At 39.2% G+C, this 27,143-nt stretch overlaps 1 protein-coding gene across 10 annotated transcripts in view, besides 1 other annotated feature; it reads left to right on the top strand.

The window, feature by feature from the left end:
* Nucleotides 1-27,115, top strand: part of SAMD3 (sterile alpha motif domain containing 3) — a 223,117-nt gene extending 196,002 nt beyond the window's left edge. For 8 of the 10 annotated variants that reach the window (XM_047418239.1, XM_024446335.2, NM_001258275.3 and 5 more), the window contains 4 exons: nt 14,842-15,042; nt 23,686-23,857; nt 24,445-24,527; nt 25,063-25,552. In XM_047418239.1, coding sequence (XP_047274195.1) covers nt 14,842-15,042; nt 23,686-23,857; nt 24,445-24,527; nt 25,063-25,347 — 741 coding nt within the window. In that variant the 3' untranslated portion in view covers nt 25,348-25,552. Of the gene's footprint in view, nt 1-14,841; nt 15,043-23,685; nt 23,858-24,444; nt 24,528-25,062; nt 25,553-25,815; nt 26,118-26,750 lie in introns of those variants that run through there. The other 2 variants (XR_001743174.3, XM_017010308.3) reach the window with 2 other exon arrangements.
* Nucleotides 16,602-17,222: an enhancer, noted in NCBI's record as "NANOG hESC enhancer chr6:130473790-130474410 (GRCh37/hg19 assembly coordinates)". NCBI's record gives its function as "activates a minimal SCP1, AML or CMV promoter by ChIP-STARR-seq in naive H9 embryonic stem cells {active_cell/tissue: H9 hESC(naive)}" and the evidence as "EXISTENCE:reporter gene assay evidence [ECO:0000049][PMID:30033119]".

The raw sequence follows: 27,143 nt of genomic DNA, 5'->3' as shown, positions 1-27,143 counted from the left end.
CCCAGCAGTTGTCCCCAGCCTTAGAACTCAAGGGTCAGTCCGCGGGATAAGAGGTCACACCCCTGGACACGAGTCTAAATACAAGCCCACCTCTTGTGTTGACACATCATCTTTTAACCAGCTTGTACACTCACATTTTCTGTCCCTTCTTCATGGAACTACACTCTTCGTGGTTTTTCCTTTCTAGCCCCCAAGACATGCTTGAATCCTAAGATGAACCCTGCTATGGTCAATCCAGGGCCCTTTGCTACAGAAAGAACAGGGAATTGAATGTATTGGGGTTAGCAGTTAAATGGTAATGGAATTTAGTTTTGACCTTCCTGCCAGCTAAGGCTAAAAAAGAGACGATAGGGTGGTCATTGTTGACGTCTACAGAGACAACATTTTTGCTGGCAAACAAATCTAATTAGTAAGGATTTAACTTTTTTCCCCCTTACAAATAGTGCAAATCGCTGATTCTTTGAAGACTATAGCCTCTCCGTTTATGCTCTCATGTTCTGTAAAGCAAAAAGCTTTAAAGGATGAGAAAACTATTTATAATGGAATATTACAGAAACACTCTGTTTCTGTATTTTGTACACTACATGGGGATTAAGCAAATGTACAAACACTAAGAAGTGTGTGTGTGTGGGGGGGTTCCATCATTTGAATTTATCTCATATAATTTTATTTTTCAGAGTGATTACCAACATTATTTTTAATCTTTGGTTTGAACTTCTTCCGTCGATAGCTCCTTTGTAATGTCTTTAAGATTGCTGAGCCAGGCATGGTGGCTCATTAATCCCAGCACTTTGGGAGACTGAGACAGGAGGATTACTTGAGTCCATGTGTCACGTATATTGAAACCAGCCTGGGCAACATAGTGAGACCCCCTCTTTACAAAAACTAAACAAAATTAGCCAGGTCTGGTGGCATGTGCCTGTAAGTCCTAGCTACTCATGAGGCTGAGGTGGTGAGAACCGCTTGAGCCAGGGAGGTTGAGACTTCAGTGAGCTGAGAATGCACCACTGCACTCTAGCCTGGGTGACAGAGCCAGACCCTGTCTCAAGAAAAAAAGAAAAAGAAAAAGATTTCTGAACATTAAAAATGTTTAAGACACACTTGGGTAACTCTCACCTTTTAAAATTTTTTAACTGGGCACAATATTTTTATAATACAGAAAAAAATTATTTCCTATGCTGCAGAGATCGAAAATGTTGATGCAGGCAAGACACAGGAGTCTGGCCATTCACTCAAAGGCAAGAAAGTGAGTTTGGCTAAACTGGAGGAAGATCTTGGGAAGGGATAAATAGAGGAAGAGATTTTCTTTTGTTTTGCTTAATTTTCTTTCTGTTTTTTTCCTTTGGTGGTCTGATGGGATTTACCAAAGAATTGAAGGTAGATGTCTTAATGAAAGAAGGTGGATTTTTTGTTTGTTTGTTTTTTGTTTTTTTTGGGTGGTGTTTCACTCGTCGCCCAGGCTGGAGTGCAGTTGCATGATCTTGGCTCACTGCAACCTCTGCCTCCTGGATTCAAGCGATTCTCCTGCCTCAGCCTCCTGAGTAGCTGGGATTACAGGCATGCAACACCATGCCCTGCTAATTTTTTGTATTTTTAGTAAAGATGGGGTTTTGCCAAGTTGGGCAGGCTGGTCTCGAACTCCTGACCTCAGGTGATCCGCCCACCTTGGCCTCCCAAAGTGCTAGGATTACAGGCATGAGCCACCGCGCCTGGCCAGGGTGGATTTCTTAGTTCTGTCACATGGGCTTCCACAGGTAGACCAGGCAGCTGCAGAACTTCTGCAGGTCTGAGCAGAGGGGGCAGATCTTTTGTCCCTAACCCTCCACCCACTGCATTCTCTTTGCCATTTTTGCTCTGCTTAGGCTATATTCTTTGGCTGCAAAACTTGAAGCATCTGCAATGCCAAAGCACCACCTGTGAGTCAACATACCTGAGTTCCTCATGTCCCACTGCTAGCAAGACGTATCATCATGTTATATATATAGCTTTGCTTGTCAGAATCCCACATTATGTTCCCAGACCAATCTTGCATAATGCCGGGTATTTTGCAATGTTTAAAAATGCCTTTCCAATCTCAAGACCTCATGTGGCTGCATGTATGGTCGTGCAGTCAATGCAGCAGCTGTGCCATCGCTTCTTATGCATCTGACTTTTAGTTTTAGGTCCAGAGAGCGTATAGCCCCATGAATTGATAAATCTGCTTTCTTTTCTTAAGTGTCTTACTGTACCTCATCGTGTATTTATAAACAGATATAATTAGATTCTTAAACCAGTACACTTAACTGAGTAATTTCATAAGTTACTGACAGTATCTTGTTAAAATAATGAAAATGTTGGATTTAAAAGCTTACAGGAATTGTGTGGAACTGCATGGCAATGTAAGATTGTACTTTATACAGTAGTATTTTTTTGTCATAATCCTTAGGTGTTAAAGTTGAATGAATCCAACTTCTCACTTCATGGCACATTATCACTGTTGCCCTGTGCTGGATCTTTTTCTGGTTTTATTATTCCTTTCTGTCCCCATTTCTATCTGCCTTTCTCCCCACCTCTGACTGTAGGAAACCATTTTAAAGCGTTTCATATGTATTTTTTGTTTGTTTGTAAATGTTCCAGAATGTGTTCTGTCATTTGGGGTTCATGTATATTTGATTTAACATAAATGAGGATTCTTTACCTCATTCGGTTTCACCTTTTAAACTGACACTCTTTTAAAGATTCATTCGTGTATATTTCAAGTCCATTGATTTTAACCATTATAGAGTACTCTTGCCTCAAGTCCTGTTCCCACTATAAATTGCGCCACAGAGAACACCGTTATGCATACCTGGTTATGAAGCTATGTGTCCTTTCTTTGGGTTGCACATCCAGAAGTGGAACTGATGGGGCTCAAGGCATGCGTGTACTTAATTTGACCAGTTGCTCTTCAGAAAGACTTTGCTAGTCTCACTCCCACACCAGTGCAGATCCCTGTATTCCTGCCAATGCTTACCATTATCTAGCCTTCAAAATGCTGCTGAGACTAATAGGTATAAAGCATAATTTCATTCTTGCTGTGATTTACATTTCCATGGATTACTGAGTCTGGGCATCTCTTCATATGTGTGTTAGCCTTTTGCATTTCTTCTAGAAAATTACCTCTTTAGATCCATTGCCTGTTTTCTAATGGGTTTGCATCTTTTTCTTGTTGATTTGTAGACTGCAGTCTTTCCCATACCCCAAGTCACAAAGTTACTCCCTTATTCTTTCTTCTATTATGTTTGTAATTTTAACTTTCATGTTTAAATCTTTAAGTCATCTGCAGTTCATCTTTGATAGACCAGTGGAATAAGAGAGAATGCCCAGAATACACCCAAGTCTATTTGGGAACTTAATATACAATAAAAGTGGCACCATAAACCCATGAAGAAAATGGGCTGTTTTGTAACTGGTGTTGAGAAAGTGGTTCATTACGTGGAGATCTCTATTTAACAGCATATACAGACTGTTCTTATGCCATTCTATATTGCATTTTCTACTTAGTGTTTATTACTTAGTACTACTTAGTGTAGAGACATTTTTTGTTGCCCAGTGGAAGATATGCTGTGTCAGGGAAGTCCCTCAGTGGAGAAGATTCTGTGTAAGTTCATCCTCATTTTCAGAATAAGGGGAAGAGGGAGTCCTCTTAAACCAGCCCCCAGGACCCCCTTGTAGCATCTGCCCTCTCACAGAATGACATCCTGGGCTGTGGTGCCATGAATGGAGGAAGTGTTAAACCAAAAGAAGGTTCTGAGCATCGGCCAGCACAGGGAGCACCAGGACAAGCTCTGGCTAGCTCTTGGGGAAGCATCCTGCTGTAACTGGATGGAGATGGACTGGTGGAGGGATCCTGCTCTTACTGTCCTGACCCTGGGATGAAGGAGGTCGTATCTGGTCTACATGGGGCACGGGACCTTGGATCCCCATGTCATCATAGCTCGATGTTCATCCTTTCCTTGGGGATCTCTTCAACCAAAAAATTCCTTGATGGTCCTCTTGGCCTCTGTCAAATGCCCCATTTGAAGCATCAGGATGTAAACATACTTACCGAAATGCTTAATTTCTTAATACTTTCTTGACTAATGCATGCATTTTCTTTTCTTAATTACTAAAGTTTCTTTCAGCCGGTAGAGCTATCAACCTATTATCATAAACTTTCTGGCCATGAAAAAAAAAGCTGACTTTGATAATAGCCAGTGATTCTTTAGAAATTTTCTGAAAAAATTTTGATGTGTACTGTATAGGTGTCTAGCTCTTTACATTTATGGCTGATCTTTTCAACTACTTTGAAAAGATTCTCCTCTGTCTTTATGGGGTAAATTCACTCTAAATTTGATATTTGGTGAAAATAATTTTGTTTTCTTGAAGCAGAATACAAAGGATGTAAATACCATTTACATCTCAGCTGGAGCCTTGGCTTATCTCTGTGTTTTTTTGTTTGTTTGTTTTTGTTGGTTTTTGTTTTGTTTTGTTTTCTAACTGCAATGGAGTTTTCTTGATTTGGAAGCTCTTAATGTTATGTAGGTGCATAGATCATTTTATCTTTGTCAGTTAGTTTAATCTACATTTGGTTTCTGTTTTGCTTTAAGCGTTTTAAATAAGTAACAGTCCTATTAGTTTCTTCAAAATTTCTTTTAATTTCATCACTAAGAGGTCTTCATTTTATGATGTATTCATTATTTCTGATTCCAAGTTCTTACAATGTATGTTGTCTTCTCCAGAAACAACAGTTGTTTGAATTTTTTAGTTCCTTGTTTATCATCTTTCTAGTAGTTCTATTTATTATTGAAAGTGAAGTATTGAAGTCTCCAACTATAATTCTGGAATTGTCTATTTTGCCTTTCAGTTCTGTCAGTTTTTGTCTCATGGTTTTGGGGGCTCTGTTGTTAGGTGTATATAAGTTTATAATTGCTATATCTTCCTGATGTAACCCTCCCAGCCCTGTTACTTACCAGTTTAACCAATTTTTTCCCTTTGTACAATCAGCAGGATTGTCCTTCTCTACCCTCTTGAAGTTAGGTGTGGTGACAAGGCTGGCCAATGAAATGTGAGCAGATGTGACATGAGCATTAAAGATCCAGTATACAATTCCTCATTTTCCCCTTTTTTTAGTGACAACTGACAACATTCTAGATGATCGAGCCATGTCCTTGGGTAAGGGGGATAGGAGCAGGACCCAAGGTGGGCATGTCATATGTGTGATAAACTTTTGTCACTATAAAGTGTGGGGGTTATCAGGTGCGGCAGTGTAATCTTGCCTGTTGCAGGTAATACCAGGGACTCCGAACACACTGTCAAGCATTCGATCCACTTCTCTGTGATTCTCCTGTGCCTGTGCTGCTTCATGAAGCAATGAAGGCATTTTTTGAGGATCAGGCTAGTCCTACCATCCTCCCTTGTGGTTTTACAATCTGTGTCCTTGTACTATCTTTAGCGTGGGGAAATATATGAGAGTTACTGCCATTTGTTGTAATAAGAACACTTAGAACATAGGAAAAAATGATTTTGCTTTAAGTAAAAACACCTAGTTTTCATTTTTACAGCTAATTTATTTGAAGATTCTTTCTAAGCCCTCAGTACTAGGAATTGATTGTCTCCTTTGTGACCTTAATGTTAAGGACATTTCTCTAAGTCTGAAACATAGAGGAAAAAATACCTAACATTTTGCCGCATTCTGATGTGAAATATTCTATCAAATATATACTGGAACAACATGGCAATTTCTTTAGAGAGGTTAACTTGTGCCTCTTTTTTTTTTTTTTTCAACCTACTTTATGTGTAGGATACTGATGCATGGATTTGATAAATGCTTTTAGGATGTTCTTGTATTCCAAAGCCTTCCACATAAACTACCAGGTGTTAAATTATTAACACTATACCTATAATTCATTTCTCTCTTAAAACATTTTCTTTTCCTACTTATTGGGTACATATATACCCTATAGCTTTGAAAGCTATGAAATAGCTTTGTGTGTTAGATTTATTTGGCTTGGAAATAAAATAGAATTAAAGTTGCACAAAAACTACCTAGTGAGTCAAATGTTAAGAATATTTACTAAGTTTCTTTGGATTTATCTTACAACACTTACTGTTGGTTTTTTACTAGGCCTGACACATAATGATTTATTGCATAAATACTAATTATTTTATAGCCTTTTCCACAGATGTTTCTCTCATGATAGAAAATTGAACAAGACAGCAAAAGTTGAAGACAAATCTTGACAGTTAATTTCATTCTACATAGAGTGCAATTACTGTCATTAGCAGGTGGCATATTTACTAATACTGCGAAGTTTTACAAGTAAGCTGCACACTTGGAAACATGGGGCAAGGTTGCATGGGTGAAACTCTGCCTGCTGATTGACTGAGACACATGCCTGAATGCTAAGCTAAGCTACTGTTCAAGTTCCATAGGGGGTACATCATTTCCAAGTCAACACTTGACGACAATAGAATTGGAAATGAGGATGACTGGGATTTGGTATGAGGAAACACCTAGTATCTAACACAACACTGTCCAATAGAAATATAATATGTGCTGCATATGTAGTTTTTAATTTTCTAGTAGCAGAAATTTTTAAAAAGTGGCAAATGGAATTAACGTTAATAGTATATTTAACTCACTATATGCAAAATATTATTTCAACATGTAATCATTCTTAAAAATTTTTAATGAGATATTTTACATTCTTTTTTTTTGCATACTAAATAGTTGAAATACAGTGTTTGCACTTACATTTCAATTTGGGCTATCTCTGGGGGAAAAAGAAAAGCCAGGTTCAGTGGCACATGCCTGTAGTCCCAGCTACTTGGGAGGCAAATGCAGGAGGACTGCTTGAGCCCAGGAGTTAGAATCCAGCTGGGCAATATAGCAAAACCCACTCTTCTATTAAAAAATAATAAAAATGACAATTAAATTTGTTAAAAATTAGAAATATCAATTTGGGCTAGTCACATTTCACGTGCTCAGAAGCCACATGTGGCTAGTGGCTACCATACTGGACAGCTCAGACAAATACACCCCTTGGGTAATTAGAGAATAAGTGAGATGACAATTTGCAGAGAACACTATAGTTAGCCAGGAGTATGTCCAGTTACTTGCTGGTGATGTTCAGAAGCTACAGTCCACAATCTTAGGTATGAAACCTTTATTTACATAGTGCCTTTAAAGTAGATTTTTCATAGGGTATTTATAAGAATTATTCAGGGACCAGATGCAGTGACTCATGCCTGTAACCCCAGCACTTTGGGAGCTGAAATGGGAGAAAGCCTTGAGCCCAGGAGTTCACGACAAGCTTGGGCAACATGGCAAGATACCGTTTTCTTAAAAAAATTTTTTTAAAGAGAATTATTCCATTTTCATAACAAGATACTCTCTTTGTAAACTTTTTCAGATTGTGGAATATAGAACAAAGTTATCTTTATAAAAGTCAAGATGAGTTTTTATTCATTTCTGGGAGATAAAAAAGCTATAACTACATTTTTAACCATGCCGTCTTACTACTTCAAAAGCAGACTCATTCTTCTGTTGAAATCAAACTTAGAAATATTCTCCTCCTTATTTCTGCTCCAGCTGTCAGCTTAAACTAAAAGTTGGCTAGAACTATGCTCTGCTATTACAACCAACTCTGTGAGAGCTTAGGTTACTGTGGTGTTGGAGTAGAGAGACCACACTCTATGTTGCCAAAACTGGTGTGGTAAAGGAAGCATAGCATACGCTCTTTATACAATTTGTTTGGCTTTAACTCAAGTTAATGTTCTGGTTAATTTACGCTGATTCCTCTAAAGTCACACATCTCAAAGGTGAGTCCTACACTTCCCTTCAGTGTATTTCTTGGCCTGAAGTGATCTCTTTCGTGCTTCATGTCTACTTTCTTTGATTCCTCCTTGAGCACGGCCCTCCATTAACTTTGTCTGCTGAGACAGACATCTTGAAGTCAACAGTCAGCAGCTGTTTCCAGCTGCTGTTCTGTAAGATTCAGACATTTCTTACTCACTAGTTGCCTCATTTCAACGTGCACTGTTAAAGAAATCAGCCTGTTAGAGAAGTGAGGAAATACCCTAAAAGAAACCTGCACACCTGAGCATCTCTGTGCTTGGAAAAGTCACTTCCCCTTTGAGGGTCTCAATTTGCCCATCAGTAAAGTGTGAGGCATGGACTAGGTGGTTTCTAAGTTCTTTCCAGCTTTAATAATATATAAATCATTAACAGTATATCTAACAATATATAAATCTAACAATATGTAAATCATTAAAATGGTGAGAATTTTAAATTCTGATGTAGCTTTTTAATAATTAGGAAAATCACTTCAGTCTAGAATACAACCCACCAACACTGTGTTAATCCCATCAGTCTGATCAGGTGGAAGTTATCTAGAAACTTTATTTTCATGATTGGGTAAGAGTTTTGGAGGAAGTAGTACATTATAAATACAGTAATATCTAAATGTCAATATCAGCAATTATATAACTTCTACTATATTTCAGTAGATGAAAGAAAGCCATTTAGATAATTAAAACATTTTTTCTGTACTTTAAAAAATTAAAATGTTTTCTTACTTAAGAAATTGTCATTCTATGCATTTGAGACATACAGAAGAAAAACTACATACGTAACATATATGTAGTTTATGAGACAAAATAAACACTGTTAACTCAGCATTTAACTTTAGAACTAGAACACTGCCTGCACCATTGTGTGTGCCTGAGTTTTCCTCCCCTCTCCTGTCACCTGCCTTTCCAACACCACAGGCCTCTAGAACTAATCACTATTCTGAATTTTATGTTTATCATTCACCTGTTTTAAAAATAAATGACATTGTCACATATGCATGAATTCTTAAGGGATATATTGCTTAGTTTTGCTTGTTTTTTTTTCAAGCACATATTTTATTTGAATAAATCCTCTGTAGTCCATTTTTATGTTCAACAGTTTAAAACATATACAAACAAAGCTTGAAAGTAAATGAAGATCTGACATATCTGAAGCTTAAAGATTTTTATTTTTCTTTTCACCACCTTCCACATTTTACATTTGAAACTCCTTGGCTTCGTTGACAATCCATTATCCTGGTTCTCCTGCTCCTATAATTTTCTCCCTTTCTATATATCTAAATCTAGATAATTTAAAAGAAATATCAAATCTCTATCTCTGCATTCACAAGTTTCCTAGCTATTCTTCCAACCTCAATTAAAAGATTTCATCGCCTTTAAGTCCCAGCTTTAAACCCTGGCCGTCTATGGTTTTCCACAATCTTCAGATTTGCTCTGCTAAACATTCCCGTAACATGCTCTGCCCTTCCTGTCTCTCCACCCAGAACTGTCCTTTCTTCTTTCAAATTCTATTATCCCTTAAAATCTGATCAGTTCCTCATCTTCCACGAATTTTCCTTCACTACCCCAGCCTAAAACAAATTCTAGTTTTGCTTGTTTTTAAGGTTTACAAAATGATATGAAAACTATATGTTGGCTTTGATAAGTTCCTTTTTTTCAATCAATGTAATGTCACTGGAATTCATCCAGGTTGTTCAGTTGAGTGTAGTTTATTCGTTTTCCTGTTGGTTTAATCTATTGTGACAGGCAACCAGTTTATTTGGCTCTTCTCTTCTTAACGGATATTTGATTTGTTTCCAGTGTTGGCTGTTATGAACTATGCTGCTGTGATTATTCTTGTATGTGTGTCTTGAAGCATATGTGAAGATTTTTTTCAAGGATTTATACTTAGGAGTGGATTTGCTGGCTCACTGGCTCACAGGGTGTGCAGATATTCAACTCTGTAAGACAGTGCCAAATTATTTTCCTGGATGATTAAGCTCCCTGAGCAGCACTCGTTAATCATCTGATTTCTTTTCCACTCACCCCACCCCCATGCAATGCCACCACCCCACTTCCAATCTATTGGGAATACAATGGTACTGTGTTTGGCTTCCATTTTAGTTATGTATGAGGGTGATCATCTTTTCATATGTTTATGAAATATTCATGTTTCCTCCTCTGTAAAGTGTCTGTTCATGTCTTTTGCTTATTTTTCTATGAGGCTGCCTTTTTTTCAATTTACTTGTAAAAATCCTTTGTATATTCTGTATTCTACTCCTTTACTAATTATATTTGTTCCCAATATCTTCTCACAGTTTGTGCCTTGCCTTTTAAATTTCTTTCTGGTGTCTTTTGACAAGGAAAGACAAGGTTGCAATTTTAATGTAGTTAGAGTTATCAATCATTTGTCTTATGATCAGTGCTTCTGAGGCAGGAGAATAGGGTCTGAAGGCAGGAAGCCTAAGGCCAATTTGCACCAACTTCCTCGAACTGAATCAAAAGGAAAACCCCAACTTTTCATGCCCAGGTAACAAAAGGACCAGAGGCTACTCCCTTTGCAATCTCCCACCCGCCTCTGTGTGGCAGATGAAAAATGGAAAGTACCTCTGTATTAGTCTGTTTTCACACTGCTGATAAAGACATACCTGAGACCGGGCAATTTACAAAATAAAGAGGCTTATTGAACTTACAGTTACACATGACTGGGGAGGCCTCACAATTATGTCAGAAGGCAAGGAGGAGAAAGTCACATCTTCTGTGGATGGCAACAGGCAAACAGAGAGCTTGTGCAGAGAAACTCCCGTTTTTAAAACCATTGGATCTTGTGAGACCCATTCACTACCATGAGAACAGCATGAGAAAGACTTGCCCCCATGATTCAATCATCTCCCAACTGGTCCTTCCCACAACAGGTGGGAATTATGGGAGCTACAAGATGAGATTTGGGTGGGGACACAGAGCCAAACCATATCAACCTCTGATTGGTCCCCTCTTGCAACCAGTCAGACTGGTAGCAGGCCTAGTCTTCATTTGCATTGGGATATAACTTTGTTACTTCACTACTTCACTTCAGCCTCTGGTCCCTTCCCACAACCAATCAGACATTTGCATAGAGTGTAATTTTGTAACTTCAGCCACTGATTGGTCACCTTCCACAACCAATCAGACTGGTCGTGGGCCTCTCCTGTATTTACATAGGGTGTAAACCGAGTCACCAGTGGGAAACCACTAGAGGCTATTTAAAACCCAGAAAATTCTCTTGAGCAGCCAGCTTGAGCCCGCTCCCACTCTGTGGAGTATACTTTTGTTTCAATAAATCTGATTTTTGTTGCTTCTTTATTTCATGGCTTTGTTGTGCATTTCTTCCAATTCTTTGTTCAAAACGCCAAGAACCTGGACAACTTGTAGTCAAGGCCCTCCACTGGTAACACTTTTAGGAAATCCTTTCTTACCTTGAAGTGATAAGAAATATTTCTATATTTTCTTTAAATTTTTTTAAGTTTTTGCTCTTAAAATTTAACTTCTTAAGCCATATGGGATTTTTTTTTTCCTTATGGATAGAAAATTTTCTTGCACCTTTCAGAAAATAGTCATTCTCTTCCTCAGATTCGTGATGCCATCTCTGTTGTTTCCATGGCTCTGTGTCTAGAAGCTCTGCTGTTTTCCGCTAGTAAAGTCATCTATCCCTGCATCAATACCAACTTCCTTACTTACATAGCTGTAAAATGTCTTGATACTTTCCCATCACTGCTTTATTATTCTTTAAGAATGCCTTGGTCATTCTTGAGGTTTTTAATCTTTCAAATGAGTTTTAGAATCAGCTAGTCAAGTTCTGATAAAAAAAATTGTGGTTTTTGATAGGTTTGGGATTTTGACAGAAATATTGAATCAGCAGCTCTACTTGGAGAAAGATGACTTTCTTACAATATTGAATCTTGCTAGCTGTGAACATAATAGGCTATCCATTTATTTAAGTCTCATTAATATTTTATAGTTTCATAATTTTCTTAAAAGTCTTCCACATTTTTTGTTAGTTTTATTCCTAGGTATCTTATAAGGTTTTTTTTGCAATTTAATTTTTTTTTTTTGCAAAATATAATTGTAAAAAATTGTATTTTCTATGTTAGCGTATGTTAGAATATTTATCTTGTATTCAGTTGCTCTGAAAAACTCAGCTGTAACAAATTACATATGCATGATTTTAAGTTTTCTCTTGAACAATCACATCATCTATGAATATTGACAATTTCGTTTCTATCTTTTCAATTTTTATACCTTTTATTTTCCTGTCTTACTACTCTGACTAGAATTTCAGTATAGGCTGAGTAAGAGTTTAATAAAGCACCTTTGTGTTGCTTCTGATTTTAAAGATTATTCTTTTAAAATTTCACCATTAAAAATCATATCTGTCAGGCGTGGTGGCTCATGCCTGTAATCCCAACAATTTGGGAGGCCAAGGTAGCAGATCACTTAAGCCCAGGGGTTCAAGACCAGCCTGGGCAACATGGCAAGACCTGTCTCTACAAAAAATACAAAAATTAACCAGATGTGGTGGCATGGCCCTGTAGGCCCATCTGTTGGGACAGTTGATCACTTGTGCCTGGAAGTTTGAGGCTGCACTGAGCTGTGATCACGCCACTGCACTTCAGCCTGGGTGACAGAGTGAGACCTTGTCTCAAAAAAAAAAAATATGTTAGCTCTAGGTTTTTGGTATATAACTTTATAGGTTTTGAAAATTTCTCTTATTTTGACAAAAGTTTTTTTCTTTAATCATAGAGGGATATTATAAGATACTTTTTCTGCGTTATTTGAAATGGTCATGTTTTTTCATCTTTAATTAGTTAATTAATGCAGTATATGACGTTTACACATGTTTAGATAATCCAAGTAAAATTATGGAACTGTTGTAATTTTATTATTTATTTATTTATTTATTTATTTATTTATTTATTTATTTATTTTTTGAGACGGAGTCTCACTCTGTTGCCTAGGCTGGAGCACAGTGGCACCATCTTGGCTCACCACAACCTCTGTCCCCCAGGTTCAAACGATTCTCCTGTCTCAGTCCCCCGGGTAGCTGGGATTACAGGAATGTGCCACCACACCTGGCTACTTTTTTGTATTTTTAGTAGAGACAGGGTTTCACCATGTTAGCCAGGCTGGTCTCAAACTCCTGACCTAAGGTGATCCACCCGCCTCGGCCTCCCAACATTTATTATTGTTTTTGTAGAGATAGAGCCTTGCTATGTTGCCCTGGCTTCTCTCAAACTCCTGGCCTCAAGTAACCCTCAGCCTCAGCCTCCCAAAGTATTGGGATTACTGGGTGTGAGCTGCTGTGCCCAACAATCATACTGTTCATACACCACGTTTCTCAAAACCTACCTCTTTTCTGCCCCGAATCTTTCTATAACAGTGGCCCCCAAACTGAGATTTTAGTATGATAGTATGTGAAACGTAATGGGTAAATCAATCATGTTTTCTTTTAATTTGCTATAGTTCCCTTACCAATGTCAAACTACCCTTGAGTTTCTGAGGTATAATAAATTCAAGTTAGTTGTTCCTTGTTTCTAATATCTGCAACTTTGTTCATGAACGAGAGTGACTGCACTTTTCCTTTCTTACACTGTTCTTTCAGGTTTGGGGATCAGTGTCATAGAGGCTTCAAAGGATGGGTTAGAGAGTATTCCTTTTTTTTCTTTTCTTTTTTTTTGAGACAGTCTTGCTCTGTCTCCCAGGTTGCAGTGCAGTGGTGTGATCTCGGCTCTGCTTCCCGGTTCAAGCAATTCTCATGCCTCAGCCTCCCAAGTAGCTGGGATTACAGGTGCATGCTACTGTGTCGGCTAATTTTTGTATTTTTAGTAGAGGTGGGGTTTCGCTATGTTGGCTAGGCTGGTCTTGAACTCCTGGCTTTAGGTGATCCTCCTGACTCGTCCTTCCAAAGTGCTGGGATTACAGGTGTGAGCCACCATGCCTGGCCTCCTTTCCTTTTTCTTGAAAAATTTTGCATAAATTTGAACACTCTGTTTCAAAAGTTAAGTAGATTTTGTCTGTAAAACCCTCAAGTCTTTCTTGGTATTTTCTTTGTGGAAAGACTTTTATCTTCCAACTAAATTTGTATAAGATTATAGGAACTTCTTCTTAATTTTGATAATTTTATTTTTCTAGGCGTTCCTTCACTTGGTTTAGGTCTTGTTAGTCATTCTGTGTTCACAGAAAGTAGATCTACTGAGGCTTTCCTATGTGCTTGTAAAAGCCTTGATATAAGAGGATTGTAGATTCCTTATCACCTTTTTCGTCTTTTATAGGTATCATCTGTTCACATTCTGGTCAGCTAGACAGTTGATCAACTTTGATTTGCATGCAGTTCAGCTGACTGTCCTCTTAACTCATATTTCTAGAAAGATATTTTTCTTATTTCCTCAAAGCTGATTGTCTTAGATTTTCAACAAGAATAAGTGAGGTGTTTCTTAGCTGCCCCCACTCCGCCCAACGTACCCAGTTGTATAGTGAATAAAATTATTAGTTTAATGATTTAGCATCAGAAAATAACCACTGTTATTATTTTGAATTTGGATTATATGGCATGGTACTGCAGCTATAAAAAGGCATTTAAAAAGAAAAAAGATAATAGTAATAACAAAACCTTAATACTTTTAAAAATATCTTCTTAACATTTTATCTTCTAAAATTGAAATGCATAGAAATGAGCAACATTTGATTCAGTGGGAACCTTCTGGATAATCTGTCTCTATATAAAAGGATAACGTAGGAATTAAAGTAACTCTTTTAGATCTTTCAAGAGAATAGATTATAATTCCATGATAAGTAATTAACTATCTAATTTATTGTCATTAAAGACTGTCCATTTATTAGTTATGCTCAATGTCAAGTGTAACCAGGTATGGTGATACTCACCTTAGGAATGAGTTAAGAGTGTGCAATAACAGCCTGAAATTCAAGTTTTTATAGAAACATGGAATCCATTGATATGTTGAAAATGTTTTGCAGGAAGAAGCTGTTTGTTTTGATTCTGAGCTAGATGAACATATTAAGTGGTTCCAGCAAGAATACGTGAAAACAGAAAAGGACTGGAGAGAAATTGACAAGAGAATGAGCCAAACTTTGGAAATAAGAAGAAAGATGATTGGCAGCCGAACACCTCTGAAGGACATTCTTAAACTGTTTCCTTTCTTGAAGTGCCCTTATCAGGTATCTTTATTCTATATATATATACACACACATATATATGTATATACACACACACACATATTTTAATATTATATATACATACATATATATATATATATATATATATTTTTTTTTTTTTTTTTTTTTTTTCAGACAGAGTCTTGCTCTGTCGCCCAGGCTGGAGTGCAATGGCCTGCGATCTCAGCTCACTGCAACCTCTGCCTCCCAGGTTCAAGCGAATCTCCTGCCTCAGCCTCCTGAGTAGCTGGGACTACAAGTGTGTGCCACCATGCCCAACTAGTTTTTGTATTTTCAGTAGAGATGGGGTTTCACCATCTTGACCAGGTTGGTCTTGAACTCCTGACCTCAGGTGATCTGCCTGCCTTAGCCTCTCAAAGTGCTGGGATTACAGTGTCCAAATGGATTTTTCCCTCTTTCCTCTTGGAGTGGTAACAGGACAACATAGCAAGACAGTGGGGGTGAATCTCAGTGGGGTGTGAGGCCCAAAGGCTGCAACTAGAGCCATTTGATAGGAATTTCAGGAAGCAGACCCTCCCCACCCACCCTCTTTCCTAACCATGAAAAAGGAAAAATTAAAAAAAAAAAAAAAGAATTTCAGTAGCATATTCAGATAATAGGCACCAGCTGCCTTCAGAACTAAAGAGTTCTCTGTCATTGGACATATTGTGGAGGGTGGCGGATCATCACTTAGGGGTATTTTGACAGTGTGAATCATTATTCCCTTTCATGCTTTTATGTAATCAAGGTAGTTTATTAAGGAACTGTTATTATGCATCCTTAGTAAAAATACGTTTCCTTTATGATCCCAAATAATTTCATAAGTGTCCTTAAATATATATGAAATTTAGGGCCAGGCATGGTGGCTCATGCCTGTAATCCCAGCACTTTGGGAGGCTGAGGTGGGTGGATTGCTTGAGCCCAGGAGTTCAAGACCCGCCTCAGCAACCTGGTAAAACCCCATCTCTACTAAAAGTACAAAAATTACCCCAGCTTAGTGGTGCGTGCCTGTAGTCCCAACTATTCTGGGAGGCTAAGGCACGAGGATCACCTAAACCTGGGGAGGTCAAGGCTGCAGTGAGCCATGACTGAGCCACTGTACTGCAGCTTGGTGACACAGTGAGACCCTGTCTCAAATTTTAAAAAATAAATAAATAAATAAATATATATATATATATATGAAATTTAATGGGTAAATCAATCAAATACCCTTCCATTTAGTTCACTTAGAGTGGCCATTCAAGGTTCTTTCACAATTTTAGTGTAATTTTTGGTGGTGGTATATAATGAAAGATCATCAAAGGTTTTACCCGAGAACATATTTCATGGAGAAATTCTATGTATTCAATTAACCAAATTAAACATGAAACATCTACATATTTTTCTTCTGAGCAAAGGGAAATAAGAATTGCCTGTATTATTTTAATAGAAACATAAGTAGCAAATATCTGAATGCTTCTCTGTAACAGCATGTTCTCAGTGCTTTCCACGGATTAATCTACCTAATCCTCTCAGCAACCATACTGTGGCTTTCGCTTGTTTCCCCTTAATCTTCAGGTTGTAAGGAACTGTAATAGCCAGTCATCTCTGGCTGTTAGAAAAGTATGCCAAATGGACACATCTGCAAAATACAGTTTTAAAGCAAAAGCCTGTCAAACTTACGGTCTATACACTCCTTACATGTAGGGAGCACGTGTTAATATTAACAGTTCCCAAAGTGCCTAGCAGAGCACCACGTGTGACACAGCAATGTAATCTTGATTTTGTGAATGCTGAGTGAATTAGTGGAGGTTGGTAAGGCTGTTGTGATCACTAATGTCGTAGCCTTAGGGGTCTTCATTGGAGTGTGGCCTACAAAGGCTTAGTGATGAATATAAATGGACTATGTTAAGCAGCTTTTCAAAGAACCATTGGTGACAGTAAGGTGGAGGTCTGTCATAGCTTATGTGAGGAGCAGAGAGATTTCAGACCTGATGCTGTCCCCTGTGCTTTTGTCCAGGCCTCCTGCTGTGGCATAGGTGTATCTTCCGCACCATTCCTCAAGTATTTCACCCTTTATATCCAAAATATGGAGTATGGTTTTTGTAATGACTGTACTTATTGAATAGAGTTGCCTGTTGATTGTTTTATTTATTTATTTATTTATTTATTGAGACAGAGTCTTACTTTGTCGCCCAGGCTGGAGTGCAGTGGCACAATCTTGGCTCACTGCAGCCTCTGCCTCCCAGGTTCAAGTGATTTTCCTGCCTCAGCCTCCCAAGTAGCTGGGACTACGGATGCACGCCACCACGCCTGGCTAATTTTTATATTTTTAGTAGAGATGGGGTTTCACCATGTTGGTCAGGCTGGTCTTGAACTCCTGAGCTCAGGTGATCCACCTGCCTCAGCCTCCCAAAGTGCTGGGATTACAGCTGTGAGCCACCGTGCCCGACCTGATTGTTTTAGACAAAAGAACGAATCATTTTCGGTTTTTCCAGGAAGTACCTCCCTGACTCAGCCCTAGGCAGCTGGGATTTCCAATTTATAAAACTCTTGTGTGCCTCCTAAAATAAAAGCAAGTTTGACCTCGCAAATACCTAGTTAACAAATGATCCCGTAAGAGGACAGTTGTCCCTGCACCAAACCACCCCCACCGCCTGTTGCTCCTGCCATTGTGAAAACACTGAGTGCTTAGGGAGCTGGTGGAGACAGGGTGGCAGAACAGCAGCAGCCGGGGTGGGCGGTGGTCCTGGCTGTTAACACTGACCCCCCATCACCTCCATGCTCATTAACCTCCTTCCTCAAAAAACTTTCTTTCAACAAGGCATTTAAAAATTCAGAATGTAACCATTTACTTTATTAGATTATCTAAAATATTATCAACTAGGAATGTGTTACTGGGATCTACTGGATGTTGCACAAGACAAGTAGGAGGGAGTTGAGAAGGAAAATACCAAACACAAACTGAAACCCTTCCCCAAATTTTCCAAAAAATCCTTTCAGATGCCATAGTTTCTGCCTTCCTGAGAAACAATTTCAATCATCATCTCTTTAAGTGAAGTACGTGAGAATCGCCAGCTAATAAAGTCTCAAAAAATTAAAAAAATCGGCCAGGCATGGTGGCTCATGCCTGTAATCCCAGCACTTTGGGAGGCCGAGGCGGGCAGATCACCTGAGGTCAGGAGTTCGAGACAAGGCTGACCAACGTGGAGAAACACTGTCTCTACTAAAAATACAAAATTAGCCGGGCGTGGTGGCACATGCCTGTAATCCCAGCTACTAAGGAGGCTGAGGCAGGAGAATCGCTTGAACCTGGGAGACGGAGGGTGCGGTGAGCCGAGATTGCGCCACTGCACTCCAGTCTGGGCAACAAGAGTGAAACTCCGTGTTAAAAATAAATAAATAAATAAATTTAAAAAATAAAGAATTTGAGTTTGGTTTTGGCCCAAATGGAGTAACTGGTACTGGTCTAGTCTTCCCACTGTTAACATGGATAAAGCTGGAAAAAAAAAATATGTATGAGGCAACTGCACTCAGGCATTAAGGTACAGGCAATGCAGGACCCTGATCCTTGGTAACGGAAAGACATAAGATGTGCCTCAGTTTTGTGCATGGGTTACTTTCTAGCTCACTGTACAGAATGGTGGGAGGCAAGCAGCATGCGGAGGTCTCATGGAGCTGCACAGGAAGAGATTAAAGTTGAGGAATGATGAAGCAGCTGGCCTTTGTAGGACAGGCACTGGAGGAAAGTGGGCTGGGCCGAAGTCTACACACGGATCCCCTGGGGATCCTTGGCTGAGAGCCGAGACTTCACACAGTGTTGCTAATAAGAATTCAGGCTAGGTGTGGTGGCTCACGCCTGTAATCCCAACACTTTGGGAGGCTGAGGCAGGCAGATCACTTGAGGTCGGGAGTTCGAGACCAGCCTGGCCAACATGGTGAAACCCTGTCTCTACTAAAAATACAAAAATTAGCCGGGTGTGGTGGCACACACCTGTAATCCCAGCTACTCAGGAGGCTGAGGCAGGAGAATGGCTTGAACCTGGAAGGCAGAGGCTATAGTGAGCCGAGATTGTGCCACTGGACTCCAGCCTGGGCGATGGAGTGAGATTCTGTCTCAAAAAAAAAAAAAAAAGAATTCTGGCCCAGTGTGTAGAGACCCTGCAGAACACCTCAGCATTCATCTGAGACTCCAGAAAACAATGCCTCATGAGTGAGAACCATGCCTAAGTTTGAGCCAGGACCTTAGCTAGGACTAAGGACAAACAACAAAACAGAATTGCCGAAAGAAATGATAAAATCAAGTCTGACAGGACCAGAAGATCCACCATAATTTATCTGCCTATCAGAACAAAATTTAACACCCTTTAAAGGAACATAATTTAATCCAGACTCCCCACTAGTGGATCACTAGAGGTTACAGTGAGCGGCGCCATTCCCATTTCCAACTCTTGGTTCCTGGACCCATGAATTCTGGCTATGGAAGAAACTGCACTGTATGCTGGATGCTGATTCAGAGCTTATACAGCCTGGGAGAACCTTGTCCCAGCCCCACAAGGTATTGCCACCTAGCTGGTGCTGTAACTGAGTCTTCAACAGGCCACTCCACCAGTCTGGCAAGCCAGCTGCTTCAGGACAGGACGGTGGGGAACAGGATAAGACCAGTAAATTCCATGTATCATCACCATAGGGAATCTCAGCAGAGAAATGAAATACACGCACACACACACGCGCGCACACACACACACATGAACCAAATTGAAATTCAGAGCTGAAAAGAACAGTTATCTGAAATGAAAACATCACCATGTGCGTAGGCTTAAAAGCATATTGGAAAATGAAAAGAAAGGAGCTGTGAATCTGCAGATAGATTAATAGAAATTATCCAGTCTGAGTAACAGAAAGAAAAAGGATTAAGATGATTAATTTGTAGGACATAATCTGGGGTTGTGAAAAGGGGGGCTTTCTTTTTGTTCCAACTTTTAGGTTCAGCAGGGGATACGTCGTGCAGGTTTGTTATATAAGTAGATTGCATGTCGTGGGGGTTTGGTGTACAGGTTATTTCATCACCCAGGTAGCGGGCATAATACCCGATAGGTAGTTTTTCGATCCTCACCTTCCACCCACCCTCTAATCTCAAGTGGACTCCGGGGTCTATTGTTCCCTTCTTTGTGTCCATGTGTACTCAGTGGTTAGCTCCCACTTATAAGAAAGAACATGCAGTATCTGGTTTTCTAGTCCTGCATTAATTTGCTTAGAACAATGGCCTCCAGCTACACCTATGTTGCTGCAAAGGACATGATTTCATTCTTTTTTATGGCTATGTAGTATTCCATGGTGTACATGTACATTTTCTTTATCCAGTCTGCTATTGATGGGCATCTAGGTGGATTCCATGTTATTGCTATTGTGAATAGTGCTGCAATGAATATATGTGTGCATGCGTCTTTCTTTATATTCCTTTGGGTATATACCCAGTAATGGGATTGTTGGGTCAAATGGTAGCTCTGTTTTAAGTTCTTTGAGAAATCTCCAAACGGCTTTCCACAGTGGCTGAACTAATTTACATTCCCACTAGCAGTGTATAAGTGTTGGAGGCTTTCCTGTGGCTGACCATTCACAGCTGGGAGCTTGGCTACACAGATGTTAGTGCTCATAAGTAAATACACTGAGATATAATGGGAGCCAGGAATCTCACTGTTGAAGAGAGTTAGAAGCTTGGGAAGGGGAAGGTTAGGAAAAGCCCTGTGGTATTGGTTTGGAATTGAAAGTATCAATGTGAATTCATGGTTTTAGTCTTTATGTATGGCTATTTAATATTTACATATATAGTTATTGGTGTTTCTGGATCAACGGGTGCCTTTGTTTATGTAAATTCAAACATTTCCTAGATTTCTTCTATGAGAAAGTCTAAAGCAATAACATCTCCGTAGCAAGTTGCACACCAGGGCTGAAATCTTGGTTTTTTTTGGTTGGGTTTTTTTTGAGAAAGTCTCTCTGTTGTCCAGGCTGGAGTGTCATGATCATGGCTCACTGCAGCCTTGGCCTCCCAGGGCTCAGGTGATCCTTCTACCTCAGCCTCCTGAGTATCTGGGACTACAGGCATGTGCCACCATACCTGGCAAATTTTTGTATTTTTTGTAGAGACAGATTTCGCCATGTTGCTCAGGCTGGTCTCAAACTCCTGGGCTCAAATGATCCTTCTGCCCTGGCCTCCCAAAGTGCTAGGATTATAGGCATGAGCCACAGTGCCTGGCCTGAAATCTTAGTTTTTAAAGCCATTCTTCATGAAAAGGAATTAGGGTTCGTGGAGAAATAGCTCACTACAGGGTTGGGGGCAAAACAAAAATGAAAACAACAACAACAAACCAAGACGAGTCAAGACGAGTCTGAAATACTGTGTAATGCCAGAAATGAAGGAAGTGCTTGCACACTAATAAGGACATGCCAAGAGGGCACGGCAGTCTGTTTGAAGCGACTCCTACTGGCCAAGTCTGGGCAATTCGAGCAATTCTATAAATAATGAAAGGATCAGATTTGTAACCGTTTGGGTAAAATGGGAATTGATTAACCTGTAGTGATAGAAATAAGTAAGTAAATATATGTGGAAGAAAAGAAACTATCTTAAAATAGAAAGCCAACTAATCCATGTAGAAAGAAAGGAATTAGAAAAGTCACCATTTGGCAACTATTGTAGTAGTACTTGATTCAGGCAAGAATCATTAATGGATGTGGAATCTGATGGATCAAAGTTATACAAGGAACAAGATATTGACATAAACTCAAGGTATCTCCTCATAAAATACAACATATATTAATTTTACGTGGAAAAACCTGGTGAATTCCATTTCTAATCAAGTAATAAAAATTATCTCCAATACTGGGACCAGTTACCATTTTGTGCTTCCGGACACAGTGAGAAATGCTAATATTCTTGCCAGAAATGCATAAATCTTGAAATATCATAAAACTTCCAAGGAGAAATGTTCTACAAAGTAACTGGCCTCCACTTTTCAGAAACCGTCAAGGAAACTAACAAGTTGTTTCAGACTGGAGACTAGAGAGGCGTGGTATCTAAATCTCATATGGGATCCTGGATTAGATCCTGGGCCTGTTAAGAATATGACTGGAACAACTGGCAAATTTGAATGGAATGTGTAGTAGATTTTCCTGAATTTGGGTGCTCTTGTACTTAGGAAATACACAATGAGGTATTAAGGAATAGTGGGGCATTGTATCTACAGCTCATTTTCAACTGGATCAGAAATTGGGGGAAGCTGCACAGAGGGCACTTGTAAGTTCTGTTTACTATTTCTGCAACTTTAATGCAAACTTGAAATTATTTCAAAACATAAAAAGTCAGAAAAGAAATTCTTAGGCTATGAGCCCAGAACAGTGGCGTATTCACCTCCTTCATCCTTCCCTTCACATCTTCCTGCTGAGAAAACGGTTTTCTAACGGTATTAATCTAGATTAGTGGTCCACTGTGGGTTGCCTGGTAACAAAGCCACTATGCCTTATGCATTCCAGCTTTCTGACAACTTAACTTTCAGACCTAATCTCTAGGCAATTTATGATCTACCAAAACATTCAAGGAACAATGAGGCCCAGTGGGTAGTATGTGATTGTTCTTTATAGTTTTAGGAAAAGCAATGACTAAATTAATTCACTGGAGTGTGGGTGGCTAATAATCTGATAATGCCACTGTCAAAAACAGGAGGGGGAGTGGTGGTGGAATCCTCTGAGGGGGAAGAGTTCAGGCAGTGGTAGGATGGGGTAGTTTGAGGAAAGGGACTTCCATAAAGTAAACTGGTTTTGCTTTGAACTTGTAGTCAAATCTGCACATACATTGTTTCTTTTTCTTTCTTTTCTTTTGAGACAGGGTCTCACTACGTTGCCCAGGCTGGAGTGCAGTGGCACAGTCTCGGTTCACTGCAGTCTCGATCTCCCCGGGCTAAGGCAATCTTCCCACCTCAGCCTCCTGAGTAGCTGAGACTATACACGTATGTTGCCATGCCCAGCTAATTTTTGTGTTTTGTAGAGACAGGGTTTTTCTGTGTTGCCCAGGCTGGTCTCAAACTCCTGGGCTCAAGTGATCCTCCTGCCCTGGCCTCCCAAAATGCTGGGATTATAATCATGAGCCACCGTGCCCAGCCATATATCGTTTTTCACTGTTTACCTCTGTCTACTCTTAGTTTCTAAAGCACTCTCCTTTACCTAAATTTAGGATACTATGGTTAAGTATTTGTCAGGGCTTGCTTCCTAAAATCTAACAGTTTTGTTCTTTGCTGCTTGTTGAACAAGACATAACAATGTAGTCACCTAAAGAAATGTAAGATCTTAGAACCTTAGCTGGGTAACCCAAATAGCCTGCATATGCATACACCCTTTGAATCCTCATTTAGTTGAGTCTGCATCCAAAGTTTTAGTTCTGTAGGTTTAGAAATTTGCCATGCCCATTATTTATCATTTCAAATTCATTTCAGGCTTTCATTCTTTTCTCCTCCCTCATCCTAAGGCTTTAATTCTCCACTAAAACTTCTAAAATATTGAGTACTTAGTGTAAACCAGCATTCAAAGCTTAATTCTAAAGGTTTTATGTCTTTACATTCTATATATTAGCTTTTCTTGTGATCTGATGTATCCATTGCTTTCTTCTTTTGTCAGATGTTCAGAGAATTCCAACTTCTTACAAGAACAGATATTTATAAGAAAACAAGGCACATTTTGGAATCCTATTCAGAAAATATACTGACTTCTTTTTCAGTGGTGGACAATCCAATCAATATTGTATTGCAAGAAAAAATGAAACATTACACAGATGAAGACATGTTGAAATGTTAGTAAACCTTATGGAGTGGTGTGATTTCATCTGTTATTTATCAGAATATCTAGAAAAGTTATGCTTTGGTAGTCAGTAAAATTCAGTAGTTTACATTTATTGAGTTTTAAAAATATATTTAAAAATTAAAAATTTACATTACTAAAATATATTTAATAATAATTTTCAATATTTAAGTAATAAGTGAAACAACTGGTGGGGAAAAAAAAGAATTTTTCCAATTAGAGGAGGAGGAGAGGTATAGATTTTAAAAGTATACTGGATATTGTAAAATTATATTTAGGGAACTAGTAACCAGTTAATTTTACAATACAAATCACAAGGGGCAGCATAAATTCTTCCTGGCTGATGGACAGACAGTACAGAACTCTTGTCTTCTGGAAGTGCTCTGGAGGGCAGATACGAGATTTTGAATGTTTTATTAGAAGAGGGTATGGTTTAAAAAGGTGTGAAACATTGATCTAAGAAGGCTAGTTTGTTTTCTGTCCAAGGTAACAAAAAATCCAGATGTTTCAATACTAGCTTAGCTTACAATTGCTAAAAGCTTATTTTTACTTCACATGTTAACATATTTGCTTTGACAGACATGAAGATGACAGCCACATGTTTACTCCTCCCAGATGTTTTTGGGGATGATCCCAGCCTTTTTGTCATCATGAATGAACAGGTATGTAGTATGTGAATGGCCACTAGTTTGACATTTTACATCTTCATGCGATTATTTATATTATTTATTTACTTATATTTTTGAGATGGAGTCTCACTCTTTTGCCCAGGCTGGAGTACAATGGCGTGATCTTGGCTCACTGCAGCCTCCACCTCCTGGTTCAAGCGATTCTCGTGCCTCAGCCTCCCAAGTAGCTGGGATTATAGGCATGCACCACCACGCCCAGCTAATTTTTGTATTTTAGTAGAGACGGGGTTTCACGGTGTTGGTCAGGCTGGTCTGGAACTCCTGACCTCAGGTGATCCACCTGCCTTGGCCTCCCAAAGTGCTGGGATTACAGGCATGAGCTACTGAGCCCAACCGCGATAACTTATTTAAAAGCAAAGTTGGTGGTCTATTTTGAAGTATGTTTGTCATATTTACAAATATGCTACATTGCAACAAGCTGATTTATTGTAATACCATGATTAAGTTCAGATGTTTTATTATTTAGCTATTTTACGTATCATGGTAATGACTCCACTCTTTTTTTCAGGTGCAAGTGTCCACACCTGTGTTGGAAGTTAAAAACCCTTTCAACATGGAGGTCTGCGAATTTTCTTTATATTTAGAAAGGGAGAGGCTCACAAAGGTGGACGACTGTGTTACAGCCTTGGCTGCGCTAGTAGCTGCCTTTCATGTATTTAGGATTGAGTGTCCAAGAAGACTGTCCCAAACTTTCAACTTCCTAGAAACGCTGATTTTCGATATGCACAGTCCTTATTTTCCTTCTTTGAAAGAAAAGGAAAACGAAGTAGGATTTCAGCACCCACTCACTTAATAGCATGCCAAATATTGTACTGGAATTTACCTCTGGGAAAACTGAAGCTTCATAAGAAATTGTTTTGATTTAGGGTTGTGGTAGAGGTAGGTATGAGAAAATCATCTTGTATTTATAGATGCTAATGAATTTCAATGCTTTCTATCTTTACACTTAGATATTAAGTTCTTTGTGAAATTCTGTAATAAAATTCTACTTCATTAAAGAGCTGTCGATTTATTTTGAGTTTTTAGAAATTCCGCAGTTAAGTTATATTTTCAGAGGTGCCTCAGTTTTTTTGAAATACACTGTACTCAAATCCTTCAGGTTAGAGAATGGCCTTGGACTGAATTCAGCATGCCCACTTAATGCACAGGAGCTGCACATTTATGGCCTGTGGGCTGTCTCTTTGGTCTGAACATCACTTGGGAACATTTTGAACTTGCATTGAACATTTCAAGAAGGGACACATACTCTTCTCTCCCTCAGGGGATCTGCCTTGCCCCAGGAGATCTGGTTGTCTTTAATCGCTTGTTGAGAATAAGGGCTGCGGCATTTTTGAGGTCTCCTCATTGCTGGCTGATCTTGCTGGTACAGGTCCTGATGTCTGTGACCTGTGTTCATCTGCTACTGCTTCTCGCCTTGGAAACACAGTGACTCATCCTGCATGCCCAACTGGCTACTGCCCAGAGTCCAGTTCTATCTGTTCTGCTCTTAACAATGGCTGCATAAGTACTTTTTGGGTCTAACAAGACTCAGTGCACTCTCCCTCTTTCCAACTATTTCACAAGGTAAGAACTATAGTTTAAGGTGCCCCTTGATGTTATTATCAAAATATCAACATGACTTATTAGCTTTGGAAGATAGACCAGGGCCTTTTGGGAACAGAAAAGGGATTTAAGTGTGTTAAAAATACCTACACAGCATGGTGGGATGAACATTTCCTGGGTTACATGTTCAAATTAATTTTTTTTTAAGTTTAAGAAAGGCTCATGTGGGCCGGGCACGGTGGCTCACACCTGTAATCCTGGCACTTTGGGAGGCCAAGATGGGCAGATCACCTGAGGTCAGGAGTTCGAGACCAGCCTGGCTAATAATGTGAAACGCTGTCTCTACTAAAAAAACAAATTAGCCGGGTGTGGTAGCACATGCCTGTAGTCCCAGCTACTTGGGAGGCTGAGGCAGGAGAACTGCTTGAACCTGGGAGGCGGAGGTTGCAGTGAGCCAAGATCATGCAATTGTACTCCAGCCTGGGCAACAGAATGAGACTGTGTCTCAACAAACAAACAAACAAAAACAAAAGAAAGGTTCATGCAAACTATTGAAGAAATAGTTTTACACTACCCATCTCTGGAAATAACTGCAAAATATTTATTCTATCACTGAAATGACAACAGCCTGCTAGATATCTTTCTCTCTCTAAGGACTGTTCATTAAAACGCTAAAGCCAGTGAGATAAAAGAAGTCAAAGAACAGTTGCCCATTTCTACAATCACTATTAATTAACTACTTACATCAAAACACAGGCAGAGTAAGTAACAATTTGGCACAAGTCATTTTGCCTAACCTAGTTCCTATCCTCCAGTAATCATTTCTTCCCTTTCATTAGAATGTACCTTTAGTTCCTTACAAACTTTCCTTTATTTCCCCAAATTACTCCTTCTTCCTTTTAGTCCTTTATTCCCAAATAAACTTACCAAGTTCTTACAGATTCTTTTCCTTATAAGGTATACATCCCTATGGCTGAAGTTGAATGACAGCCTCTCTCAGGCCATGACAGGATGACAAGGTGAGCTACAAGGAAACTGCAGTGAAGT

Source organism: Homo sapiens, chromosome 6, assembly GCF_000001405.40.
Source record: "Homo sapiens chromosome 6, GRCh38.p14 Primary Assembly".
NCBI classification, from domain to species: domain Eukaryota; kingdom Metazoa; phylum Chordata; class Mammalia; order Primates; family Hominidae; genus Homo; species Homo sapiens.
Note: the sequence above shows the minus strand (reverse complement) of the source record. Positions and strands in the feature narration are given on the sequence as shown.